The sequence below is a fragment of the Homo sapiens genome, chromosome 6 (assembly GCF_000001405.40).
Source record: "Homo sapiens chromosome 6, GRCh38.p14 Primary Assembly".
NCBI classification, from domain to species: Eukaryota; Metazoa; Chordata; class Mammalia; order Primates; family Hominidae; genus Homo; species Homo sapiens.
Genome location: NC_000006.12, coordinates 2621492 through 2649051, shown reverse-complemented (window position 1 = coordinate 2649051; position 27560 = coordinate 2621492). Strand labels below are relative to the sequence as shown.

At 46.5% G+C, this 27560-nt stretch overlaps 2 long non-coding RNA genes across 3 annotated transcripts, besides 1 other annotated feature; one reads left to right on the top strand and one right to left on the bottom strand.

Moving 5' to 3' along the window:
* Window positions 1–8492: 8492 nt before the first annotated feature.
* Window positions 8493–14552, bottom strand: LINC02521 (long intergenic non-protein coding RNA 2521). 2 transcript variants are annotated; one of them, NR_149118.1, is made up of 4 exons: window positions 14297–14552; window positions 12456–12529; window positions 11597–12115; window positions 8493–9364 (listed from the first exon to the last, which is right to left on the bottom strand). It is a non-coding gene; the product is annotated as a long intergenic non-protein coding RNA 2521 (long non-coding RNA). The 2 variants fall into 2 exon arrangements; NR_149119.1 differs by lacking the exon at window positions 12456–12529.
* Window positions 9120–9635: an enhancer, noted in NCBI's record as "NANOG-H3K4me1 hESC enhancer chr6:2639651-2640166 (GRCh37/hg19 assembly coordinates)". NCBI's record gives its function as "activates a minimal SCP1, AML or CMV promoter by ChIP-STARR-seq in naive H9 embryonic stem cells {active_cell/tissue: H9 hESC(naive)}" and the evidence as "EXISTENCE:reporter gene assay evidence [ECO:0000049][PMID:30033119]".
* On the top strand, window positions 14449–27139 carry LINC01600 (long intergenic non-protein coding RNA 1600). The gene is made up of 3 exons (NR_131168.1): window positions 14449–14487; window positions 15260–15447; window positions 24933–27139. It is a non-coding gene; the product is annotated as a long intergenic non-protein coding RNA 1600 (long non-coding RNA).
* Window positions 27140–27560: the final 421 nt, after the last annotated feature.

Genomic DNA, 27560 nt, shown 5'->3' with positions numbered 1-27560 from the left:
TTCTCTCACCAGTGTTTTACAGTTTTCGGTGTGCTAATCTTTCATTCTTGCTGTCAGATTTTATCACTAAGTATTTCATATTTGTTAGTGCTACAGTAAATGTATCTTTAAAACTTTAGTTTCTGATTTTTTTTTTGCTATTTAAGAAATACTTGATTTTGTATGTTGATCTTGCAATGTTATGTCTTGCAATGTTATATCTTGCAATGTTGCTGAGCCCAATAATTCTCACATTTTTGTATATTTTATTAAATTTTCTGCATAGAAATCATGTCACTTATGAATAAGAACAATTTTACTTTTTTCCAATCTGAATGCCTTTTATTTCTTTTCTTCTCTTATTATGGTGGCCAGAGCCTCTAGTACAATGTTGAATAGAAGTAGTGAGAGCAAATAACCTCATCTCTTTCCTGATCTTACAGAAAAGCTTTCACTCCTTCAATATTACACATAATGTTGGCTGAAAGTTTCTTATAGATGGTCTTTATCAGGCTACAGAAGTTTCCTTCTATTCCTGGTTTTCTGAGAGTTTTCATCAGTGCTGTGCAATGGATTTTGTCAAGTACTTTTAAAAATCTATTTAGATGATCATATGGCTTTTCTTTTTTAGATTGTTAATATGGTGAATTACATCTATTGATTTTTAAATATTAAACCAATCTTGCATCCCGGGAATAAACTCAACTTGGTCATGGTTTATCTCCTTTTATGTGTTCTCAGAATCAACTTGGTAAAATTACATTAAGAATTTTCATATCTATGTTTGTGAAAGATATTATACCATAGTTTTGTTGTCTTTTGGCTTCAGGGCAGTGCTGACCTGACAGAAAAAATTAGGCAGCATTTCCTCTCTTCAGTTTTCTGGAAGAGTGTATGTAGAATTGATATTATTTAGTGAAGCCATCTTGTCTAGAGTTTTCTTTGTGGGAAGGTTTTTAAACTACAAATTTAATTTAATTTTTTTAATAGATACAGAATTATTCTGGTTATCCATTTATATTTGAGTGAATCTGGTAGTTACTGTCCTTTAAGGAACTTAACTGATTTTTACCTAGGTTTATTGACATAAAGTTGTTCATAATATTTTCTATGATCCTTTTCACATCTGTAGAATCTATGATGATGCCACCTCTCTCACTTCTAATTTGTGACTTACCTCTTCTTTCCTGATTAATCTGACTTGAAGTTTAATCATTTTACTGATCTTCTCAAAGAAGTAGATTTTGCATCATTGGTTTTATGTATTAATTTTCTATTTCATTGAATTATGTTCTTTATTGTTTTCTTTCTTTAGGTTCAGTTTGCTGTATTTTTTCTAGTTTCTTAAGGAGGAAGCTTAGATTACTGATTTGAACTATTTTTTCTTTTCTCATATAGTCATTTAACATTAATAATTTCCTCAAATCCTGTTATAGCATTAACCCCAAAGTAGTCTGTGCTACAGTTGGGGAGCGACCCAGCTTACAATATAAAACAAAATACCAGCACTCTCCCAATAGCAGTGCCTATGGGATCCACTCCAGGGCATCTCCTTGGAAGCAAAACTGCATTAACTCCTTCATGGCCATGCTCCTTTGGAAACAATCCATGGCAGAGTACTGTTGCTGAGTTTCATGCTGTCATGTACCGTATTAAAATAAAGTCCTAATGTGCTGCCCAAAGAGGCAGGCTGGCCCCCAAGACAAACAAATCAAGGATAGTTTCAAGCACTGGTGCTTATGTTTGTAAAAAATCATCTGGTATACCATGGGTTCATAGTTATCATCATTAATTGAACAGACACTTTGTGTCTGACAGTGTGCTGAGAGGTTCACCCTCACTATTTAATTTAAACTTTATAACAAACTTTGCAAAATGGTATGTCCTGCTGTAATACCAACTTTCTAGATAAGGAAACAGTCTTTTACAGCTAAGTGTTACAGCTAAGTTTATTCAGTGAGAAAGCAGCCAAGTTGAGATTTACCCTAAGAACTTTCTAACCCAAAAGCCATTCCATTTCTCTCCTCCAATGTCTGTTCACAGGCATACCTGCAGCCTGTGGGCGCTGACCTGGTGAGAATGCCATCGAAACTGTGGGGCACAGGAAAGACCGTGTGAAAGAGATCATTTGAGAAATTTTGAAAATCTCTCTATTGTGAAAAATGCCTCTGCTTAGAGGTTACTGGAAAGTTGCTCCTCTGACCCATGTCACTGCAGCAATGGTAGCTGTGGTCACAAAAGCAGCCAGCACCAAAGTGGCGCTTATGGCATCAGACAATCTCCTTATGTCTATGCTCCCTGCTATTATTTTCTATTCTCTGTAAACTCACATACACCTACACCCATGCACACCTATACACACCCACACACTACACACACTCACATCTAAGCCCACCCATCCACTACACACACACACTCACATCTAAGCCCACCCATCCACTAAACACACACCCACGTGCACCTACACTCACCCACCCACTACACACACATGTGCACATGTACACCCACCCACCCACTACACACACACCCACACACACCTACGCCCACCCTCCCACTACACATGCACATCCACTCACACCTATGCCCACCCATCCACTACACACACACCCACGTGCATCTACACTCACCCACCCACTACACACACACATGAACACATACACCCACCCACCACACACACATCCACTCACACCTATGCCCACCCATCCACTACACACACACATACACCCACCCACTATACAGACACACACACACATGCACACACACAGTGTTTCACTCTCAGAGAAAATGTAAATAAAGGTTAAGCTAAATAATCATGAGTTCATAGGTAAAATACTGGAATCCAGTAAAGTTGGCTTAAAGATGGAAAATTGTTTAAACACACACACACACACTCACAACCTGCCACTGCCTTGCACCTGTCATGAAAGGCCACCATTCCAAGTGGAAGGCAAGGAAGCACATTTGAGCTAACATAATATCCCAGCTTTTTCCCAGGCTAGGTCAATGTCTACCAGATAATTACTCATTGTAGACGTGTCTGTGAGCTTGACTTTATCTATCATTTATGTTTGAAAATCAATCTGTTCATTCAAAAATGAAAGTGTTTCATTCCTTTTTTACTTTTCCTTCCAGTCTGAAATGTTGTCCATATTGTCAGCTATTCTGGAGCTGTTTAAATTAGTGCAGGTTTTTTATTGAGTGTCAAATACACTCTGGGGATAGGCTGGCCTCACAGTTACCCAACGTGCTCAGCCAGGTCCTGGGAATTTGTGAGACAGGGAAACACCATTGTTAATAAAAGGTTTTCGTTATTAAGAGCTTATCTGAGATCCCTCCTCTTGCCTCTGATTTGCCCTCTGTGAGCTGGCTGGGGGGTTTTGTTCTCCTCCTTTGGGAAGGCAAGAGTTTTGTTCCAGGATGTGAGCTTTTCAGAGAGTTAGAGACATTTACTCAAACCTCCAGCTGGAATGACCTTTATAGAGCAGGCAGGGCACTGTCAGCTGATATTTCAAAAATGGCAGAAACCTGCTGATTCTTGCCTGTCTCCAAAGAAAAATTCAAAAAGCAGAGTGTCCCCAGGCCATTTGGCAAGTGTTTGGTCACCCCAGGAGCTCTTATTACACACATGCATACCGTGCACACCTACCCCAGGAATAAGGCTGAAGTATCAGATTGTCTCAAATACACCTTGTCTTCCACTTAGATCCAGGGCCTTCATTGCAGGTGCAAGGCAGAAGGGCAGGAAGTGTGCCCCCAGCTTGCCTGGCGGGAACTGGATATGATTAAAGTTAAACCATTAAACCTCCACATGTGTGTTTGTGCAATGGCGTGGTCCGAGTCTCAGGATGACAGGCACGTGGCAACAATCTCATATCTCTGTTTCTTCCAGGGTTGAGGAGACCTACACCACCAAGGTCCAAGAGAATCAGAGGCCAATGGCAACCTAGGCATGGCTGAAAGCTCACCCCCCTTCCTCCGAGCAGTGCTGAGGGGCACCCAAAGCATCTCCCAGAATGAACTGTCCATTCCACCCCTCCCTTTCCAGAGATGTTGGGTTTGCATCTCTTTTAGCAGAAAGGTTGTCACCCCCAGCCACCCTCCTTTGGACCTTGGTGCTGCAGCTGGTGCCACACCACTTCACCAACCTGGTTTCCGTGCCCCCCACATGTGTGCGTCAGGGGTCTCTCTTCAGCCCCAGGACTTTCTCCTAAGCCTCAGATAGTAGCTTTGTCCGGGCACACACAGCCCTGGAATGGGGACCCTCAACCAAGGGGAGCCGGAAGTCAGTGGGAACTACCTAGCTTTCTGCCCTTGGGAGAGAGAACTATGAGGCGTATTCTTTCCAGTTCCTCAGAAACCCTCCAGCAGAGCTGAGCCGCGTTGCCCACTGCAGTAGCCAGCCCGATAACATAGTCCATGTTGACTTTCTTCCCTTTTGGTCTTCTGTTTCCCACTGCTTCCTGCGATTACTTTCCATGGAAGCTACCTGCATTCACACGTGTGTTTCAGGCTTTGCTTTCAAAATAACTCAAAACAGATACCACCCCAATGTCCTTGAGGTTGGGCCTATGTACATGTGAACAAAATGACCAGTTGGCCAGGTCGCTTCTGCTAATTCTCCACCACTCGATGAAGTGGAAGAGAAGGTCAGTCAGTGGTTATTTGAATACACAATGGGCCCAGTTATTTGAATGAATGGTGGTCTTGTATTTATTTTTAATGCAATGGGAGGATGAATGTTGCTTCCTCTGAGTGGTTTTCCTCCCTGCATGTGTCCCATTGGACTTGAGATCTGCTTCGGGAATCTCTGATTCAGGACCTCCCCTTTCACTCGGCTTCCACCATGTCTGTCTGTGAGGCTCCAGCCATCCAAGTCAGTGGCCAGAGCTCTCTGAGAACAGTAAGGGGTGTCTAACACCTCTCTACCACCAGCCTCTCTTCCTTGAGCACTGACCCAAAGGGCAGCTTCAGTCCTGCAGCTGCTGGTTCTTCTGCTGGAAACAGAAGGCTGTCACACTACTGTTGCTCCCCTGGCCAGTGGAAGACACAGCCACCCCCTTAGAAAGCACAGAAGTGGTAGAGCCATGCCAACGTGATCCTTAAACTCAACCAAGTGCCCCAGAAGTAGGTAACACCAGCCATGAGTGGAAGTCAGCAAATACGGTCTGCCCAAAGATAATACCATAATGATAGTATTAAAATGGATGTTGCGTGAGGGACAATTCATTTAAATGTTTTTCTGGCTTTATTGAGGCATTATTTACATATAATAAAATTCAGGCATTTGAAATACACACACGGTACAGTTAACACACACTGTAGTGCCCGGTATGGTGAGTTTTGGTTATTTTATAGAGCAGCCATCACCACAATCAAGATCTGGAACATTTTCATCACCCTAGAAATTTCCTTGAGTCCCTGTGTAGCCGATCCCCTCTCCTGGCCCCAGCCCCTGGCAACTGTTAAGGACCTTTATGCCACTATAGCTTTGCCTTTTCTAGACTTTCATATAAATGGAATCAAGTGATATGTAATGCTGTGTGTTTGACTCCTTCACTGAGCAGAATGGTTTTGAGCTCCATTCATCTGTGGCTTGTGTTAATGCTGTGTTCCTTTCTATTGCTCAGTAGTTTCATTGTATAGATATCCCAGACTTTATTTATTTAGCAGCTGATGGGCCCCTGGGTTCTTTCCAGTTCTTGCTTATTTGAATCATGCTGCCATGAACGTTCGCATTTGAGTCTTTGCATAAACTTAGCAGTCATTTCTCTTGGGTAAATACCCAGATGTGAATTTCTGGGTCATGGTTAAGTACATATGGCCACACAGTTTTCCAAAGTGGTTGTGCCAATTTGCCATGAGTATAGAAGAGTTCCTGTTGCCCCTCCTCCTCATTAACACATGATATACTCAATTTTTTAACTTTAGCCATTCTAGTAGGGGTATAGCGCTATCTCAGTGTGGCTTAATGTTGAGTACCTTTTCATGCACTTACTGTTCAGCTAACATTGTTGTTAAGCAATATCCTGAAATATTCTTTTTTTTATTTTTTTGAGACAAGTCTTGCTCTGTCACCCAGGATGGAGTGCTGTGGCATGATCCTGGCTCCCTGCAGCCTTGACTTGGGATCAAGCAATCCGCTCACCTCAGCCTCCCTAGCAGCTGGGTCTAGAGGCATGCACCACCACACCTGACTAATTTGTGTATTTTTTGTAGAGACGAGGCCATTTCATGTTGCCCAGGCTGGTCTTGAACTCCTGGGCTCAAGCCATCCGCTGGCCTCAGCCTCCCAAAGTGCTGAGATTACAGATATGAGCCACCATGCCCAGCCCTGAAATATTCTTAAGGGATGCACCGACCCTAAGGCCGATGTTATTCCCCTCAATTTGCAGATAAGATCTGAGGCACAGAGTGGCTGCACAATTGCCTTGCATTCCTTTTGGCAGAACTGGGGCTGAAGCTTCCTAGACTGGGCCACATGTTCTCCACTGCTGGGAACAACTGTTCTTAAAGGGCCTTGCAGACATATTAGTAACCTCAAATGGTGACAGACTGGCTGCACATTTTGACATTAATATGTTGTCATAGTTTGACATAAATAGAACTATTCAATATTACTACTTTTTTTCTTTTAAGCTGTGGAGCCTCTAACCATTCCTACCAGACTTAATAAATGGCACTGCCACGTGCTTAATTAGTAAGTGTTGAGAGTTACTTTGCTGTGAAGTATTCCCCTCCACTATCTTGGCCCATGTAGCATTTATAGGAAGGAAGCTTTCCATTTGTCCTCCCTTATCCTGGGAGCACACGGAAAAGGTCCAGGTCACTCAATCCTCCCTCCCCTCTTGGTTGATGGCCAAAATGCTTTCTGCCCTGGTAGAGTTGATCCTTTAACTAGAAACTGTAAGCCCAGTGCGAGTAAATGCCTAACATTGCAAACAGAGATGCTAAAAAGGGAACCTTTGTGACACACGCATCCTGCAGGATGTAGGGACGAGTGAATGGAAGAGAATGGGGTGGGGTGAGGAGTGAGTTCTACCTGCAGGAATGAAATGAAAGACCTGAAGCTGCTGGGCTTCCCAGCCAGCCACTAGGAAACACACTGGAGCCAGAGGTAGGTGAATATTTCTAATCTCCTAGAAAAGGCAATTAGGAGTGTGGGAACCACGGGAAAAGAAATTTCCATCTTTTTTGACTCTCTGTTCTCTCCCACACTTGTCATTCCTACCACCTTGTCTATTTCCTTGTTTTTTTTTTTTTAAGTTCTCTGAAATGAAAAAGTCTTATAGACTTGTTTTTAGGAGAAGTTATAGGAGATGAGCCCTGGGATATAGCTAATTTAGGGGGAAGAGCAGATGGTTTTAAAAAGGCAAAAAGGAAACTAACCTTCTGAGACTTGAAGAAAAGAGGCGATTTATACCACGGTGATTAGGAGAGCAGCCTGCTGTCCTAGTCATGTTTGTGCGTGCGTGTGTGTGTGTGTGTGTGCCTGTCTGTGTGTGTGCATGCATGTGTGCATGGTGTACATGTGGATGCGTGCGTGCACCCTTGTGTGTATGAGTGCAAGCATGTGTGGGGACGTGGGTCTACATCTGTGTGTTTGTGCGTGTGTGTGGTGTGTGCATGTGTATTGATGAGTGTGGAGAGGAGGGGTCATGTGTGAACATTCCAGAAAACATATCACTTTGGTTCTCAGTGGTGATTTACTCTTTGGGGTGAATTAACTACATTCATACATGGAGAGCAGTACTTAACGAGGATGGAGGAGGAAAGTTCATGGGCACTGAGTGTTGAGGAGGAAACCAGATGGCCGGAAAGGCTTCAGAAGACTCTCCTCTCGGTTTTGGCTTTCAGGTCTTTGTGGTTATATTCTGTGCTTTTACTTTAGAACTGCCTAAAATATCACGACTCTCTCAGAAATCCACTAGTCACTGCCCAAAGTCAAAGAATCTTTGCTCCATTATTTTCTTTTAAAATGTTCGTTGCTTTTGTTCCCTATCTGCATGGTTACATTTACCCTGGAGCTCCGTGTACTATGGCCTGCTAGGCGGCTGTCTCCACCCAGTACAACTTGAGAATCCACTAGGGAGCTTTTGCACACCCACCCCAAGGGTTGGGACCTGATGACCAGTCTGGGGTGCACCCTGGGCATGGCTGGGCATGGAACTTTGAAAATCTGCCCAGGGGATTCTCAGAGATAGCCGTGGTTGAGGGGACCACTGGCTAAGAGAAAGGATGAAAGCAAATGCAGGCGTTGATTCCTGAAACCTGGGGAATGCCTGCAGTGAGGGGGAAAAGGGTAACTTGGATTTCCTACTAAGTCTCTTTACTCCTTTGTCGTGCAGGTATTTGGATGCCCCACTGTCCCAAGACTATGGGATTATCTTCCTCCCACTGTCATTCATATTTACACCTCTGTGGATGGGTGAAGCATTAATACAGACTTTCAGTGAACTGAACTGAGCAGTTAAAAACAAAGCCGGATGAATGACAAGATGTGAAAAGAAGCAATCCCTTCAGATTCTTTTATCTTGCTTGCTTTAAATGTTCAAACACCCAAACAGGCTGATAAATTAAGATTTCATGGAAAGCTGTGCGTAGCTTTCAGCCACAGCAATAGTCCGAGGTTCTAGTTCTCTGGTGCCAATAATAAAATCATTTCAAATGCAAATAAAAAGTCAGTGTTGAAAATGACCAGTTTAGAAAAATTGTGCTATAGTTACCAGCTCTCATACAAACAGTGCCTGAGAAAGTCAGATCGCAGTCTATAAACAGGCTATATTTAGATGACTTCCAATCCCAGTGTGTTCCCAGACCTGGTCAGAGCTAGGCAGCTTCCCACTTGGTCATTTTTGTCCAACAGGGTCTTGTCCCCTTGTAATCTGTGAATCCTCCCTTTTCCCAGGCTCCCAGGGAGACCGTCGTGTGGTTGCCCATCCTGCAGAGCCCCACCCAAGCAGGACGGCTGCCAGCCCCTGGGCAGTGCTGGACCTCGGGCTGTGAGTTCAGCTGAGCTGCGTGATCCAGATGAGCTGCAGATTGTCCACAGGCTGCCACCCAGACGCTGGGTCACAGGGGCTCCCCCTGTGCTTTATTGAGACTGGTCAGCCCTCCGCCACTCCTAAGAAAGAAGATCCTTGACAGGTCCTCGACTTCTTCTCCATCACTGGGCCATGGTGTGTCCAGATTTTGGAAAGAGAGAAAAGAGAAAAAAAAAAGTCCATCCACCATCTCAAACGTGTCTGCACCTCGCTTGCAGGTGGACAAAAAGCTCCTGTGAGGTTTCCGTTTTTGGCATGTCATCTCTCTAGAGACATGGTCCCTCTAAATGAGGAGGTGATCTGGACCCCTGCTGGACCGAGGCAGCTCCCCACTTTGCCGAGGCCTAAACAAACCCAAACAGGACATGCAAGATCAACAAATGCCAACCAGCCACACAGCTGAAGCAGAAACGCAGAAAGCTGTGCACCAGGAAGAAGCGTGACCTTCAAGAATCTGCCCTCGCGTATACAAGCGACATTGGTCCTGCCTGACATGACAAACACACAACCCCCCACACACAAACACACAAACACACACACATGCACACAGACATATACACACACACAGAGACGGACATACAACCGTGGTATAAAAACACACACACACCCAGGCTGCCCCTGAGGCTGCGGGGTTCTGCGGCTGCCAGGAAGCCCCTCTGGGAAGAGAGCAGCCCATGGCCATACAGGCAGGCCAGCCCTCGAAGTCACAGTGGGACGATCTCAGGGGAGACTCATCCACACATCACCTAGGCAGGACTGAGACAGGGATCCCGCAGTGCATCACTGGGGCTCTGATTGACGTTTGTTCATCCTGGTCGGCCCTCTGCGACTCCTAAGATCCCAGGACCATCCCGGCGACACCCTGGAAAAAACAGGCCACAGCAGCACGACACTGAGGCACTGCCACAGAAGGCTCCTGCTGTGCTGATCCTCAGGAACTCACCCTCAGGCAGCGGAAGCAGGCGCTGTGACCAGGCTCTCTAGCAGGTGGAGTGAGTGTGTGTCTCCGAGGAGGTATAGAGCCATTCCAAGACTGACGACCCCCTCACCAATAAAGTGAAGGAAAGGCCAAGCACACCTGAGGACCCCAAGAGGGCCACACTGGGGTCCAAGCCACCTTCAGGGATGCCTGCCAGAAGACCCAAGACGTTCCTGTGATGTGCCAGCCACTCCCACCCCTATGCTGGTGACAGCACACACACCCTCAGCTGCAGCAGGCCAACCCTCAGTCCACTTGGCTCAGTGAAATCCGTGGCAGTCAGAAGACTTAGTGCTGGGAGGCAGTCCCACCCGGGAGCAGAGGGGCTGGATATCCCTCAAGAGTGGCGAAGGCACTGTAGATGCCAGGAAACTCCACCTTTCTTAGAAGGCAAAGGCCAGCCACGCTTGGCTACCGCTCATCCTATAGGGTCATGCCGCCGTCTGCTTGAACCCTGGAGACCAAGGGAATGTCTGTGTGGGCGACAGGTATGGAAACCCAGAGCTCCAGGATCCTCCCACCTGCCCAACCATGCAGAGAGAGGTTTGGAGAAGGAAAAAAAGATCCCGGATGAACTGGGAAATGTGGCTGGTTGAAGACTCTGAGCCAGATCAAGAAAAATTGAGGCCCAGCAGGAACATGGAAGACAGAAAAAGGGTGAGGGCAGTGTAGACAGAAAAAGAGCAAGGCAGAACGCAGCAAGGCCACTGCCGTGTGGAGCTGGGAATGAGTGCCCAACCGGCGGCCTAGCCAGAAAGGCCACAGTTGGAGGAAAAGAGATCCTTGCCAAGTTCTCAGCTTCTTCTCCATCGTTGGGCCATGATGTGGCTAGATTTTGCAAGGAGAGGAAAAGGGGAAAAGGAGTTCCATCCACCACCTTGGACATCTGTCTGAACCTTTCTTGAAGCTGGACAGGCAGCTCCTCTGGGGTTTTGGTTCTTGCGTGTGTCATATTCCCTCTAGAGAAGTGACCCCTTGGGATGGGGAGGTGATTTGGACCTTCACCCAACGGACGCAGCTCCCCACTTTGCCACGGCCTAAAGAAATTTTTTTTTTTTTAGATGGAGACTCACTCTGTCACCAGGCTGGGGTGCAGTGGCGCAATCTTGGCTCACGGCAACCTCTGTCTCCTGAGTTCAAGTGATTCTCTTGCCTCAGCCTCCCGAGTAGCTGGGATTACAAGCACGCACCATCATGCCCAGCTAATTTTTGTATTTTCAATAGAGACGGGGTTTCACCATGTTGGCCAGGATGGTCTTGATCTCCTGACCTCGTGATCCGCCCACCTCAACCTCCCAAAGTGCTGGGATTACAGGCGTGAGCCACCACACCCGGCTGGCCTAAAGACATTTTAATGGGAAGCACACGATAAACAAATATTAACCAGCCACACAGCACGAGTGGAAACGCAGGGAGCAGAGCATCAGAAAGAAGGCTGGCTTGAAAGAATCCGCCCTTGAGTATACAAGACACATTGGTCCTGCCAAACACCCCCCACCCCCGCACGCGCACACACACACACACACACACACACACACACACAGAAACACACACACCCAAACGGACATATAACCGTGGCACAGGAACACACACATACCCAAGCTGCCCCTGAGGCTGTGGAGTCCTGCTGCCGCAAGCAAGTTCCTCTGGGAAGAAAGCAGCTCACGGCCACACAGGCAGGCTGGCCCTCGAGGTCACAGCGGGGAGAATCTCTGGGATACTCATTCACATACTGTCTAGGCAGGCCCGAGGCAGGGATCCCACGGCGCCTCCCCAGGGCTTTGCTTGACCTCGGGGATTCAGGGTGTCTTTCCTCTACCGGCTCCCAATCTCCCTCTAGGTGGTGAGGGCTGGCAGGGCCGTTTGTGGGGGGCAGAGCAGAAAGAAGAAGTATAGTAGAGGTTGTGACTCCCTGGGAAGGTGAGGGCTCATGTGAGCCTATACTGAGTAGATACACTGAGTAGATTCTGACTAAGGACGTCCACGAAGTTATGTTCTTTCCTGAGATGCCACAAAAAGTCATCACCAGTCTGTAAAACTCCCAGGCAGAGGGTGTGATCGTCACATTAATCAAAAAGCAGGCAGCTCTACCACCTCGTACTCATCAGGATGGCCTCTGTCAAAAATCCAGAAACAACAACGTTGGGGAGGACGTGGAGAAAGTGGGCCCTTCGGAACCGCGGGTGGGACGGAAAAGCTGTGCGGCCGCGCGGAAATCTGTACAGTGGCTCCTCCAAAAATTAAACGGAATCACCACGTTATCCAGCAATCCTCTTCCGGGTATATATCCAAAGGAATCGAAAGCAGGGTCTCAAGGAGTTACGTGTACACCCGTGTTCACAGAAGTGTTATTCACATTAGGCAGAAGGTGGAAACAACCCAAGCGTCCATGGATCCATGGACAGATCAATGGATAAGCAAGACGTGATGGGTGCGTATGATGGAACGCGACTCACCTTAACAGGGAGGGAAACCCTGACACGCTACAACGTGCATGAGCCTGGGGGACATCCTGCTAAGTGTAGTAATCCTGTGATAAAAAGGATAAACGTTGTGTGAGGTTCCTAGTGGTCAAATTCACAAAGACAGCAACTGGAACGGGGGAGAGAAGATGGGGAGTTGGTGTGTAGTGGGGCCAGAGTTTCCATCTAGGAAGAGGAGAAAGTCCCGGAGATGGATGACGGTGATGGTTGCATAGTAATGTGAATGTACTTAATGCCATTGAACTGCACACTTAAAAAAGGTTAAGAGGGTCCATTTTATGTTAGGTGTATCTTAGCAGAACTAAAGCAAAACAGAAGGCAGTGTTAAAAACAGTGGATGACGAGCTCTCAAGGTGGTGGAGGCCATCGCCCACTTCACTTGGGGGACCCCTGCTCTCAGAAGCACACACTTCACGGGGTCACCTGGTGTTCATGCCGGCGACCTTTCTCTCCCTGCCTGTGGCCTGGCCCCAGGTCAGCATTCACCAGGTGGGGAGAGTCTGTGCAGCGCGGCGTGGGCCTTGCACGCTCCTTTTTGTGTTTGTTTGGGTTCTACTTTTCCGGACTGCGACACTTATAACTTCATTAGAAAATATCACTTTCTTCAGACCCACACATTCATTTATTAGGCACTTACGCTCCATAAAATGAAATGCACAGCAAGGCCGCTTTCATGCTTCCTTGAAGTTCTATCAACTTATTTTGGGGGCAGATTTGACCTGTCAGAGCACTTCCTCCGTGGGAGCTCCATATCTAAATATGTGCATATATAGTTTTCTACTTTACTGACGGTAGCTTTCATAAAGCCGCTTGAAGTACTTACTAAAAATCCATCTTAAGACTCTTTCTGCATTTTGGGAGGCCGAGGCGGGTGGATCACCTGAGGTCAGGAGTTTGAGACCAGCCTGGCCAACATGGTGAAACCCGGTCTCTACTAAAAAATACAAAAAATAGTCGGGCATGGTGGCGGGTGCCTGTAATCCCAGCTCCGTACTCCAGAGGCTGAGGCAGAAGAATCGCTTGAACCCAGGAAGCAGAGGTTGCAGTGAGCCAAGGTCGCGCCATTGCACTCCAGCCTGGGTAACAAGAGTGAAACTCTGTCTCAAAAAAAAAAAAAAAAATCTTCCCCACACATAATGTGGCAGGACAGGAAACACTAGGATTCCTCCAGTTTATGGGGAGATTGGGAGAGCTGAGGCTTCACAATGACACAGCCGGGTATGGAAAACACCAAAAGAAATATGCCTTTTTGGATGACAATACTCCACCCCAATTTCCAAGTATGCTACAACTTTTCCTCAGCCTCGATGGGAGGTATTTACAGTGAGTGGTAGAAGCTTTACTGCAATGCCCTGGTAGACACAGGCTCCACCAGGCTTGGCTTCTACACTCTCACTGGGTCTATGGATGAGCACAGAAGCCAGGTTTCTGGCTCACAGAGAACCTAAGTGCTGAGTTTATATATAAAGTGCACAGTGTGAATAATTAAATATGAAAACGTGTACACACCAAACAGGACATTTTTACTTAATGCCAAAGAAGCACAAACGACCCTTTCTTTTGGGAGTTTCACAAGCATTTCTGCTCAACAGTAATCCCCCAGTGACAGTGATAGTAGTGGTTTCAATATTTTGTTTATAAAAAGCAACATTATAAAATGCCCTGAAAGGTCTTGGCTTCTTTTGTGAGCTCTGAACTATTCAGAAATTCAGCTTGCTATCTGGGGACAACAAATAAATCCCTACTCTAAAAAAATGGGATTCGGGTTTTTCTCCTGTGCTGCTTCCTGGCCTTAACGCTTCCTGGGGACTTACCGTCATTTGCTCAGTTACGGTTTCTATGGGATGAGTGGGGAAGCCGCGTGGTGAGGAAGCCTGGCTCGCACCCGGCCTGCGCTCTCTCGGGCCTGGCCGCATCGGCCACCAGGGGGCAGTGTTGTCATTCGCTGGCGACGCCGCCCCGCCCCGAGCGGATGCCACCCCGTTTCCAGCCTCCGGTGCTCACCGTAAGCTCTGTTATTATTATCTTTTGATTTATAAAGCGCCGTTCCTCAGCAGATTCCCCGCCCCCCAGCTGCTTCCGAGAAAGCTCGCAGAAGCGTTCGTGCGCAGGCGCGGAAGCCCCGCACAGCACGCGGTGGGCCCGGTTCGGGGGGGCGCACGGCCTGGGGCGTCGGGAAGAGGCTGCGGGCAGCGGGGCCTGCGGGCGCGGCGTGGCGGGGCGGGAAAACGGCTCTGTCCCGTGGGGCGCAGGCAGGAACGTGTTCCCATAAAAGACACAGGGAAGACCAACCCTGGGCGTTAGCCATCCAAACCTTCCCTCCCGTGCGAAACCCGCTGCCCTGCGGCCAGGACTGTGAGGGAAGCGATGGGAGGAACCCGGGAGCCCGCGAAGGCCGGGCCCCAGAGTCCGGGCGCCCCTGAGCGGGGCGGAGGGGACAAATAGAACCTTTTTAAGGACAGCTGAAAGAGATTATAAGCGCGGTGTGCTGGGACTTTGGAAAGGGCGCGAGTCATTAGTGGGGGCGAATCAGAGGGGAGTATGTTGACGGGATAATAACAAAAATAAAGAGGCTTGATAAGAAAGACACGGCTTTTGGAGTCAAAGGGAAAATCCGGGACAATGAGGGTTGGCAGGTTCCTGGGACACAAACCAGGAAAAACAGGGCCACACCGGAGCGGCCTGCCTGGCTCCAGCACAGCCGGTGCAGAAGCTAATTTTGTTCCGAGTCCTCCTAGCTCAACAAACATGCCGCCATAGCACCTATTTTCTTTTAGGTAATGCTCACAACAACCTAGCAAAGTGGGGATCATCTTCACCACTGTACAGATGAAGAAATTGAAGGTCAGACATTCAAGGTTATGTGGCCACATGAGAGAAATACCAGAGCTGGGATGAAGACTCAACGGCTCTCAGACACCAGGTTGCTTCTTGAGAGAAGCCGGATGGATGTGCATGCAGGGAGGTGAGCCTCAAAGCAGGTCCAGCTTTCTCCCGTGAGTGTTCCAGTGGCTTAGGGTTAGGGTTAGGGTCCAGAGGAGGAGAGGCGTCCAGAGCTGGGGCCGTCTGCGTTTTGCCTTGCTGTCCCAGAGTGGCAGCGAGGAGTGGCCTGGCCTAGAGGGTCTTTGTCTTATCTTGTGACTTGCTGTTTCTCCTCTGTCTGCAGGAGCTGGGGGAGGTTGGAGAAGCCGCAGCCCAGAAGGGGAGGGAGGACACCATGTCAGAGCTTGCTGGAGCAAGCTTTGGAGGAAGGCCACAGGGGACATTGTCACCAAGGGCCACGGCAGCGTGCACCCTGGGTTAGAGAAAGGGGCAAATTATGGATATGAAAAATGCTTCCCTCAATGAAAAGGACCCTGCTGAGACAGGATGGCTGTGGGCCAAATACCCCTACAGTGCCTGATTCTTTTATCTTATTATTTATTTAAACAAGACCAGCATTTTGCTTTAGATAGAAAATCTCTCTCTGCTACAAAATTGCAAGCCCTGGGAAAAGTCTCCAAGAATGGCTGATGCCACAGTCAAACAATAACATACATGTCGGGGTGAAACAGTGCACAGAGGATGAAAAAAGGGAAAAGCTCGAGGCCCCGGGAGGAAGGAGCTGGGAGGGTGGAGGGCGTGGAGGTGTGAGGGCCCAGAGGGATTGCCCAGGAAGGTATGGAGGACCGAAAATGGATCACCAGCCCTCATGGACAACTTAAACTAAAGGTGGAAAAGACAGAAAAGCTGGCAGGGGGAATTGTCTCCAGCCAACCTGTCAACTTTTGGAAAAAGATGGATCACAAAGAATGGGAAGTGGAAGAGAAGGAGAGGAGAAACCAAGAATAAAGAGCAGACGCTGTGGGCAGAGCTGTGGGGCGCCCATGCTGGCAGAGCTGGGTTCTAGGGCCCTGGTTTCGGCTGTGTAACCGCTTGCCCAGCCCTCATCTCATCCCTCAACAATGAGGGCCTGGCAAGGGAGGGTATGCTGGCCTATTTTTGTCTCATGTATTTGTGGACTCTGTCCAGAAGCTCTGAGATGCCAAGTTAAAATGGAGAAGGTTTGAGTCACCGCCACCTGGCCAGAGCCTCAGTGAGTGGGACGCCAGGGCTGGGGTCGGGGGCTGCAGAGTTGCTGTTGATTCACGCGGCTTCTCTGGGGTCTGGATCTCAGTTTGGCTGTGAGGCTAAGCCCTGAATGGGTGCATAGCAACGTTATTCTGGAGTGCTAACAGCCTACCCTTGCCACCCACGTCTTAGAGACATTAGAAAGTTGGGTACAACATTCCCCACCTCCCTCTGATTTTTCTGGAGTAGACTGTGATGAGGAGATGGTCAGTCTCCAATAAAGTCAGCACCTTCCATGAAAAATGACTTTCCCTGAAAGTTGTTTTGGAGTGTTAAAGAAAAATATCTTCAAAATTCTTTACCACTTTTTGAGCCCGATTCCAGATGTTTGGCATATCCTAAATTATCCACTTTAAGCTTTGATAATCCTAGGAGGTAGATACTGTTATTCCCGTTCCGCAGATGCAGAAACTGAGGCCCTCATTAATGCTGGGACCACTCATGGTCACAGCTGGTGGTGGTGGAATTGGGATTTGAAGTCAGATCTCTGACTCAGAACTTGGGTACTTCTTTCATGTTTCCTTTTCCTCCTTTATTCAAAGTAGCTTAATTGCTTTTGTAAAATAAACGTGAACATCACCCCAACTGCCGCCGTCCAGGGATAACCAGGAACAGTTTAATGAATGTCCTTCAAGACCTCTCTCTCTTGCATTAACTTGAATTCAAGCTTGTCAATACCCAGATTATTCCTTCTTGAAAGTCGGTCCTATGCATTTAATTGAATTGAAGTTGGTGGCTTTTCCTGCTCTTGACATTTGCCTGAGTTGGCCTCGGGATTCTGTAAAGGAAGCGCCTTCTGGGCTGCAGTTTTCTCTTTCCCTACTCCCCGTGGTGTCTGCTCCTCACCTCAGTCAGATAAGACCTTGGTCCTCCTTTCCATGCCCCCAGAAAGGACCCAACTAGCTCTTCCAAAGATGTGCTTGGAATTCCCGGACAGCTAAGGGATCAGCTGCCAGGACGGGGCTGTTGCACGGTTGGCGTGTGGGGGCCAGTGTTCCGTGGAAGGTGCCTAGAGATGGGCCGCCTCCTCCATCTTCCCCAGGCCTCCTTCACCTGTGGGCAGGAGATGTTTGTGACGTTCCTTCCGGTCAGCAGGACTTCAGGAAGAGCCGCCGCTAAGCCTGGGGGCAGGACTAGCCAGGCTCCCTACTGAGGCCTTCTCATGTTCCTGACAAGGCCGAGGGTAAGCTTACTCACCCATTTTCCACCTGCGGAAATGGGTTCATAAGTTCAAACATGCACAGCTGCTGGTGGGTGTCAGGATTTGGGATCTGGGCTCAGAGCCTGCATTCACATCACAACATCACCACACTTCCCTGCTTCCCTTGGCCACATCTCCATCACATCTGAAGGGTTTTGTGTTCAAGGAGTCTTTTAAAAATAACAATTTTTGACCAGGAAGAATTAGGACTGAGCAAGACTTAGTCATAACAAACAGACAGACACATCCACGCTCCACACCCTGGGCTATGTAGATGTGGCCTACCCCCTTCTTTTTGAAGTGCCTGTAAATAAATAAACCTGTGCCAAGCTGAGCTCAAAATTGAGTGGTTTACCCACGTTTGACATCCAGCGCAACCTGTGAAAGCTGTTTTGTTTTTATTATTGTGCAAAAAGTGTTCTAATTACAATATGCTTTTCTGAGTCAGAAGAGAACGGTAAACCATTTGGCTATGGAGTGATATTTGTGAAATCCCACTGGAAGAGATTATAAGCTGATTTTAATGCACTTTTACTAATGGTTTAATAATCCTAAGGAGAACTGACTGAGCCCTCATAATGAATGAAGAATTTTGATGGCAGGATCCGTAAATGCTGATGTTAGAGAAGGTCAATGGATTAGTGAGTCAGATGCTTCCAGGGGCTTGTATGAGTCAGGAAAAACAGGTCATGCTGTGGAAACAAACCCCAAGGTCTCAGTGACGTAAGAAAAGTTTACCTCTTGCTCATTAAAGGCTGGGTCAGGCAGCTCTCCAGGCCAACTCTCCTCGGGTGAGCGGGATCCTTGCCACTTCCATCTTGTAGCTGGGCCGTCTGGAGCCCCTGGCTTCCAGCATTGCTAAAGTGAGGGAGAGAGGGTGAGAGGACTGGCGGGAAGGTCTAAGACCATATTCTAATGTATAAACTAGAATGTATACATTCTACTGTATAAATTTATTCTACCCAAGAGGGACAAGGGCTGCTTAAGAGCTGCTGTGCAGGTCAGATAGAGTCATCACACCTTTATGTTGTGTCTTCATTTTCTCTCAAATACATTAACATATTTTTTTAGAATAGTTTCAGAATTTTCGAAGCAAAACTGGAGTCTGTGATGGTAAGCACTTGTCATTGGATTTAGGGTCCACTCTGATCCAAGATGATCTCATCTCCAATCCCCAACTTAATTATGTCTGCAAAGACTCCAAATATCATCACATTCACAGGTTATGGGTGGATGTATTTTTTTTGCGGGGGGACACTATTCAACCCACTACAACCACCGTCTAGAAAGGACAGATGTTAGCATCCTATCCTAGGTGACCCAGGTATTTTTCATAACAAAATTCAACATTCGAGAGAGGATGAGAAGTATAGTTTGAGGACTTGGCTCATGCCATTGTGGGGCTGGCAAGTTCCCACAGTGCAGGTTTAGCTGGCAGGCTGGGGACTTAGGGAAGTTGTCTTTGAGTCTAAAGACCATCTGCTGGGAACATTCCCTCTGGCTCAAGGAAGGTCAGTCTTTTCCTTAAGGACTTCAAATGATGGGATGAGGCCCACTCACATCATGGAGGATACTCTGCTTTGCTGAAAGTCTCCTGATGTAAATTAATCCATGAAAAAACACCTGCACAGAAACATATAGAATAGTGTTTGACCAGATGTCTGGGTACTGTGGCCTAGCCAAATGAACACCTAAAATTAACCATCACACAACACAACATTTAAACCACGTCCTCATACAAGTTTCCTTCCTCTAGGGGTGTGTTTTTCAGACCACGGTTCACGAACATGAACGGATCACAAAATAAATGTAGTGGGTCCTGACTGGCATTTTATAACTTGTCAGATGGACTTGATCCTGTAGATAACAATTATGACTGTTTCAGTACACAAGTAATACAAGAGTACACAGTCTCTGCAAAACCAAAACCATATTGAGAGACAAACAACACAAACTGATATTGTCAGACTTTTTAAAATGTGGCCATTTTGGCGGGGCACGGTGGCTCACACCTGTAATCCCAGCAATTTGGGAGGCTGAGGCAGGTGGATCGCCTGAGGTCAGGAGCTCAAGACTAGCCTGGCCAACATGGTGAAACCCTGTCTCTACTAAAAATACAAAAATCAGCCAGGTGTGGTGGTGCACGCCTGTAATCCCAGCTACTTGAGAGGCTGAGGCAGAAGAATTGCTTGAACCTAAGAGGCAGAGGTTGCAGTGATTCGAGATCACGCCACTGCACTCCAGCCTGGGTGACAGAGTCAGTGAGACTCTGTCTCAAAAAAATAAAAATAAAAAAAGGAATGTGGCCATTTGAAGGGTGAAAAGGGCACTCCAATTTCTCAATTTGTGTTTTCTTGATTATGAAGAGCTTGAGTGTTTCTTTGATTATTATTGATTAATTGGGTTTCTTCTGAGCATCACATTCTTTAAAGATCAAGCTGGAGTCAAGTCCCTTTTCCAGACCCGAGACAACGTCTGTCCCCTGCCCTTAGAGGCAGCTCTTGGAGTGTTTGGCTGGGCTCCTCCCTGCAGCCCCAACTCCTTACCACGACCGGTCACATTCACACTGAGCATCAAACCTCAATAAGCAATAGTCCTCTAGCTTCACAAATCAACTTTTAGGGACTCTTCCTACCCACAAACATTTCATAAATCTCGCTGCACCTCTGTGACCTACTGATAGTGCTAGGGTGCCCACTTTCCTCTCCTTCCCCCGGCTCCCACCTCTTCCTCCTAGTGCTAGGGTGCCCACTTTCCTCTCCTTCCCTCGGCTCCCACCTCTTCCTCCTACTACTCCCTGGCTCGCTTAGTTCGGCAGCTCAGTGAGGTTTCTCACCCTCAGCACTTCGGACATCAGGGCCAAACACTTCTTCGTTATGGGTGCAGTCCTGTGCGGATATTTAACCGCATCCCTGGCCTCTACCAAGAGGAGATGCCAAGAGCACCTCCTCCCCAGCACTGATAATCAAAATGTCTCCAGACATTGCCAGATGTCCCCTGGGCAGACAAAGTCACTCCCAGTTGAGAACCACTGACTTAATTAAAGACCAAAATTAAGTGCTGGTGGCAGATACTCAGAGAAAATACTTGTCCGTCCAGCAAATACTGAAACCGAAAAGAGAGAAGATATTTGAACGCGTCGCTGACCCACCTGATTCAGTCCCTTCTAGTGTTGCCTGCTTTCTGGTTGCTCTAAATGTTTAGGCTTTGGCCAGGGTTTATTTCTCTACCTGGGTACATATGTAGTAGTAGTTTCAGGAGAAAAATATTATGTTCATGACAAATCGAGAGCAAATATAGAAAGGATCTGTCTTTTATTTCTACGGCAGGAAATGATAGCTACCTAAAGGGGAGGTTTGCTTTAATTTTCTGTCTTTTAAATTGAATTTTCTCTTGCTTTCACAGTTGGGACTAGGCTGCCAGATGTTATTAGTGTATTTTGCCTTTTGATGTTAAGGGAAGCTTAAGGCAACCAAGATAACACAAGAATAAGTCCTCCTTCATCCACAGGTCAGATATATGTCAATCATTACACTCTGAGACCAAGTTGAGATCCTGAAAGAAGCAAAAATATTTTACAAAGTGCCCAGATGCACATCATGGGGTGCATTGCCAGGGTATTTTTGACCTTTACTCACAGGGAGTCTTTCTCCACACTGGGACTCCTGGTTGAGTATAATTCTAACCAGTTTGATTATTGGCTTCCCCTGCAGTCATTAGGAAAGGGTAGATGCCTCAGGCGAGTGCATTGAAAGTAGATAAAAATGACTGCCTACAACCTGATGGAGGAAGACAAAGAACAACAACAAATCTAAGGGGAATACAAAAACATCTCCAGACCTCAGAAAGCTTAGCATCCTGAGGTTACCCCATATTTTGGATAAGGTGTCATAAACACTTCATTCATCCCTGTGAGTGCTATAATGACCCAGCACAGGACTGGATATTTGTAATCATGGCACAAAACTCATCAGACAAGGTTAATTTATGTTTAAAATAATCAGTTCTTATGGATGGTGGTGATGGTAGTACAAGACGAATATACTTCATGACTCTGAACTCTAAACTTCAAAATGGTGAGAATAGTAAATTTTATGTTTTGTGTATTTTACCACAATAAAGAAATCAGTTCATAAGAGAGTTAGGAACTTCGTAATATATTTCAGGAAAAAAAATGTAACCAAAATTTCTAAGATTAAAAATAAAAATGTGCTCCTTCAAGAGTTTGCAAAAGTTATCTTAATGATTCACTCATAAATAGTCTCTCCTCCATCAAAGATGCTTGATAAATGTCACTGGAATTCATTCATTCAAAAAAAAACCAAACAATCATATTTTGATAGAAGGAATTGGATGTCATGATTTTTGGGGATTGGGTCTTATTTTTAACTCTGACAATGAAATATGGCTGCAAATCTTGTGGTCTGATAGTGTGATTTAAAAAAAAAAAAAAATCCCACATTGTAAGGCTGGGCTCACTCTGTGGCCCAGGCCCAGCCTGACTCCTCTGATGAGTGTTGGCTTAGGGTTTCCACATGAATAGCCAGGGTTGATGGATGAATACATTTACTGTCTGGACTGATAACAACGAACAGATTCCTGGTGGCAAGCACTGGACACAACCCTCACAGGCCTCTAGAGTAACCGCGTTGATTCAGCAACATGGCCATTTGAGTTAATTTTATCAGAATGGCAGTGGCTTTGAGAACTTACTCACACAAACCCACAGTTTGTCATGTTCCCAAGACCACAGCAGGTATGGTCTAAGACCGTCTGTCGAATGAGAAAATTCGTCATTGTCTGTTTCCTGCTCCCTAGTCGTTAGCAATATGCTTTCCTGGACATTTTTGCTTTTCCACATTGGAATGGGAAAAAAATCTGTTAGGAGAGGCACTGAGTATTCACCAAGAGATGGTACTGTGTTTGGAAAATTAGTTGGTTTGTACAGATCACCTGCTTTCTGGTAACTGCTTTTTAAGATAGATAGCTTTGACTATTTTGGTGGGGAAGTTTGCGCTGAAATTCTTACCTTTTTTGTTTGTTTTGCGTAGTGAGAACGCTAATATTCTGTAAATGAGTCTAAGCTACATTTTACTTGATGCGGGCAAGTATTATAGATTCCTTTAAGAGCCTTCATTTTTATCACATGCAAATCACGCAACCCATTTTTCAGTTAGGGTAAAGGAAGCTCTAAGAATAGGCCGAGATCTTCCACTCAACGGGTAAATAGAATTTGGACAAGAGTTTGAAAATATCAGCCATCAGTTTGCTGGGAAGTTTTGGGCAGCCAACTTGGATGGAATTCTCTGAGAAAAGAAAGGATTTTTTTCTGAATCATTTCCTTAGGAGGGAACTAACCACACCAATTTTAGTCTCAAACTTTCTAAGTTATTTCTCAAAGTCTTTGGAGGCTATTCAAACCAGTTCCAAAAGTTTTTATAAAGTCGAAATGGCTCTGAAATCTCCTGTCCAAGTACTGAGACATATGCTAAATGGATAGGGTGTGAGGCAGTTTTCTGAGAGTTTGTTTGGATTTCAGGAAGTGGACAAGATAAGCTGAATGGCCTTTTCCTGCTCTGACTCTTAAAAAAAAAGAAAAAAGAAAAAAAATCTCACCCAAAGATGCTTGAAAGAAACCATGGACATTTCCTAACTTCAAAAGAGTAGAAAATCTGCTAGGAAGAAAAGAAAAATCACTATCATAGGCCCAGGATGTTGCAAAGACGAATCAAAACAGGAATGCAAATCGGGACAGAGCTGGAACAAACATACAAGTCTTGAGGTTGTATTTTTATGTGCTGTTTGTTTTTGTACGAACTTCCCTGTGAAAGAGGACGAAACAGAAACACACCTGTGTGGTCTGAAGGGTTTCCCTTTTCCTTCTGGCCTTGGCTTCTTTTCTTTGCCATTCATGTTCAGGAATAGAGATAATCTCGGCGGTGAGGGATGTGCCATTTTGAAGATTGTCTCAGCGCAGTTTCTTGTTGGGAACATAGATGATTGAGAGCCCGGTGCATTTTTGCTATTTTTAATTAAATGAATGGCAGCATGCTGCTATACTCATTGTATGGCAAACTTCAACATGGGTCGATTTTCCAGGGGGAAAAAGCCACTGCATTTGCTTCCTGGGCAGCTCCAAGGGTGAGTTTTCACTTCTGCAGAAACATGAATGCATCGTGTTCACCTTGTTGGAGGTATTCAATGTCACAGGGCTCTTTGGATCTCCCAGCCCTATGTCTAGGCCCATCTGGCAGGCTTGGGGAGCTGCACTGGGCTCTTCTCTCAGGAACAGGAAAGAAAATTTGGATCCTTCAGTCCTGGGACAGAGACTCAGAGGATCCCAGATTCCCCATTCAACAACAAGCCCTCTCTCAGGCCCTCAAGATGAACACGTGGCCCGTTCTCAGTGCACCATGCTAGAGTAGAAACCTGTGGTCAGGAAACTTGGGATGAAATCCCGCTACTGGGGGAAATCTGCTAACCCCTCTGAACCTCATTTTTCACTTGCATCAAAGGGGATAAAGTGTCCTGCTTCTTGCCTCCGGACTGTGGGCATTGGTGGGATTGGATTGGGTCATGGGGAGCCGTGGGGTGGCACTGGGGAGCTGCATCAGCCACCAGCATCTCTGAGGCCTTTGCTTTCTCTGAGGGAAGGCCCAGTTTGATTTAGGTCCTGAGAATCCCAGAATGGCCATTTCTGGAAAAATAACCAAAAGCCCAGATTTCCCTTTTAATTTTATCGCACACAGGCCAGCACTACGCATAACAAAATATTCCATTTCTCAAAAGGAAGTCTTAGAATATTGGACGAATGCACTGTGTGACTTGACTTCATTCACAAAGCACCCATGTCCCTTGGATCCCTTCCGCTCTCCCTCCCGCCCCCACGCTGCCCTTGTTCTGGGAAATTCAACTCTCCAGGAGTAGCCAGCACAGAGGCCTGAGCCCTCCTAAGGCTGGGCTCCCAGCAACGCTAGTCGTTCACTGTCTGACTTTAAATTCTCTGAGCACTCGTCTGCTCGTCAGTAAAATCCAGAGACGAATCTGCTGTCTAGGGCAGACATGAAATCAATGTAAAGCGCCCGAGCACGGGCGTGTGGCTCTGACCCACGCTCTGCCTCTGTCTCCCTTTTCTGCAGGGAAGTTGCCTCTGAGGAACGGCCTACAGTGGCTTACAACTCCCGGGAGGGATGTGGAATCTATCCCCCCAACAGCCCATGAAGACTTATAAAAGCTGACAGATGCAAGGTTTTCAGCCATGCCTTTGATAAGATACTATAAAAGTAAAGTAGCTTCTGCCCTAAAAGCTGAGCGCTATTTCCAGAAAATCAACAATGGAAATGATAGGCATTTCTTTTGAAACTGGCACATTCATAATGGACATAGAAGAATCAACATAAGAAAGTAGCAGGTATTGGTCTTTCCTGTGGTCCCTGATGATCTATCCACTTGACCTCTTCAGGAACATTCCCTGGAAGCAGGGGAAGTGCTTTGCTTCCCTGTCTCCCGAGGGAGAAAGGGCATTTGATGGCATGGAGCCACTCTGCCAGCCAGGAGCCAGGCCCGCTCTAAGGGGGCTACAGCATGCCTCAGATTGCTACAGGCTCCTCTCCCCTCCCGGGTCCGGCCTTGTCGGCACCAACCCCTCAGTTCCTGCCCCATCTCCCCACTGCGGTTGCTGTCAGGCCTGGAGCATTTCCTCCTTCACTTTCACGGGTCCCACACCCTTCAAGATCAACAGTGACCAGGCCACTCCCTGCCATCTGAGAAGCCCAGAAACCATCTTCCGTCAGAGGGAGATTAGCAATGAAGCTTTCTGACGTCTCTCCCTGTACCAGGCTCAAAAGGAATTTCATCCTTTCTTTCCATTCACTGCAATGAGCTCTCACACTCATTTGAAATGTGCGGCCTGATGACCCACACACCTCTCAGGGGAGCCATGGCCCCACGGCTGTCTCCCCCTGAAGATGTCGTCCCTGTCTGAGCCCCTCCTCATTACAGGAGAGAACGAGCACCTGCCAGCACCGGCAGCCCCTCGATCCTAACCTCAGATGGCACCCTTTGGGTGCGGAGTGGGAAAGGAAGAAGACTCAGCTGGTGAAGGCTCAGTACTTTTCCTTTTCCGCAATCACTAAGTAATTTTCTCATCCTTGAAAGCAATTTTCTGCTGAAATTCAGAAAGAACTTATTTTGAAGTTACGCCAGTAAAAGCTCTGGAAACTGTGATGGGAGCTTGTGCTGGAAGCCGAGGACAGAGCTCCATGCTGATTCTCCATTCCTCTTATTTATTTGCATGATCTGAGCTAATTTCTCAGCTGTAATCTACACCACCCACCACCTAGAAACTTCCCAGAAACGTCCAGCAGGGGAGGGGTGGGAACGAGAAAGAAAGCACCCAACGCTCTGGCAGGGTCTGCGCAGCCGCCAGACTCTGTTTCTAGACGGTCACGGCCGACTTAGTAATTCACTTAGAAGATCTCCTGAAATAAGCACAAAATGTTGGCAGCAAATGGTCAAAGGGAAATGCCCCAGTTTTCTTAGGGGACGGACCCTGTTACTTTATCAGATAGCAGTGTGAGCTGAAGTGTGAAGACAGGGCAGACACTAATGGTATTTTGTTCATCCTGAATTTTTTTTTTTGGCATTAATTTTGATCTTTAAAAAATATTGCATTAGGAAATGTAAATGCATATGAGTAAGTGAAAGAAACCAATCTGGAAAGTCTACACACCGTACGATTCCAGCTATATGACATTCTGGAAAAGGCAAGAATAGAGAGGCAGTAAAAAGATCAGCAAAGAGTAAAAAATAAGTCGGAAAGGGACAAATAAGGTTCTTAGGGTGTGGAGACTACATCTGTGTGATAGTACGATGGGTGGGTACATGGCATTATGCATTTGTCCAAACCCACCGAACGGACAACACCAAGAGGGAACCCTGCTATAAACTGTGGCCTCTGTGCGATCATGATGTGTCAATATGGGTTCATCAGCTGTGACAAATGAACCCCACAGGTTGGGGATGTTGACATGGGGGAGGCTGTGCATATGTTGGGGAAGGTGATATGTGGGAACTCTCTATACCTTCTGCCCAATATTATTGCGAACCTAAAACTGCTCTCAAAAATATAGCCTAAGAAAAAGTAACTTTAATCTTGGGAGTTATTGTTTACTGGGTACAGAGTTTCAGTTCTGGAAGGTGAAAAGAGTTCTGGAGGTAGATGGAGGTGATATTTGTACAACAATGTGAATACTTAGTGCCATTGAACCGTACACTTAAAAATAGTTCAGACGGCTAACTTTATGTTGTGTATGTTTTACTGCAATTAAAAAATGTTACTTATCTTAATGACTGAGTTTTTGGTGCTCCCTTAAACTTTGCACTGACGGCAAGTGCCTCACTCATTGCACCCCAGTCCCAGCTACACCTTTCCTGACTCCAGGAAGCTGAGGCTGTGGGTGTCAGAGGAGAGCCAGCCACATCACTGGGAATCACCTGTTTACACTTTACACAGTCAGCGAGCTGTTTTGTTATATTTTTCTTAAGACACAAAATCTTAAGTGCCAAAAACTTGTTATATAAATATGACTTCTATCTTAAAACATATGAAGGGCTCTCCTTTTAGACCTCGACAGACAAAATTATTCTTGTGTGTCTGGCTTACTTTTTGCTTTTTGTACATCAGTGATAGAGAATGAGAGTGAGGTGGAAGGAGAAAGACAAATACAGGAAGACACAAAGGTGGCTGTGTTTGTTTTCTATTGCAG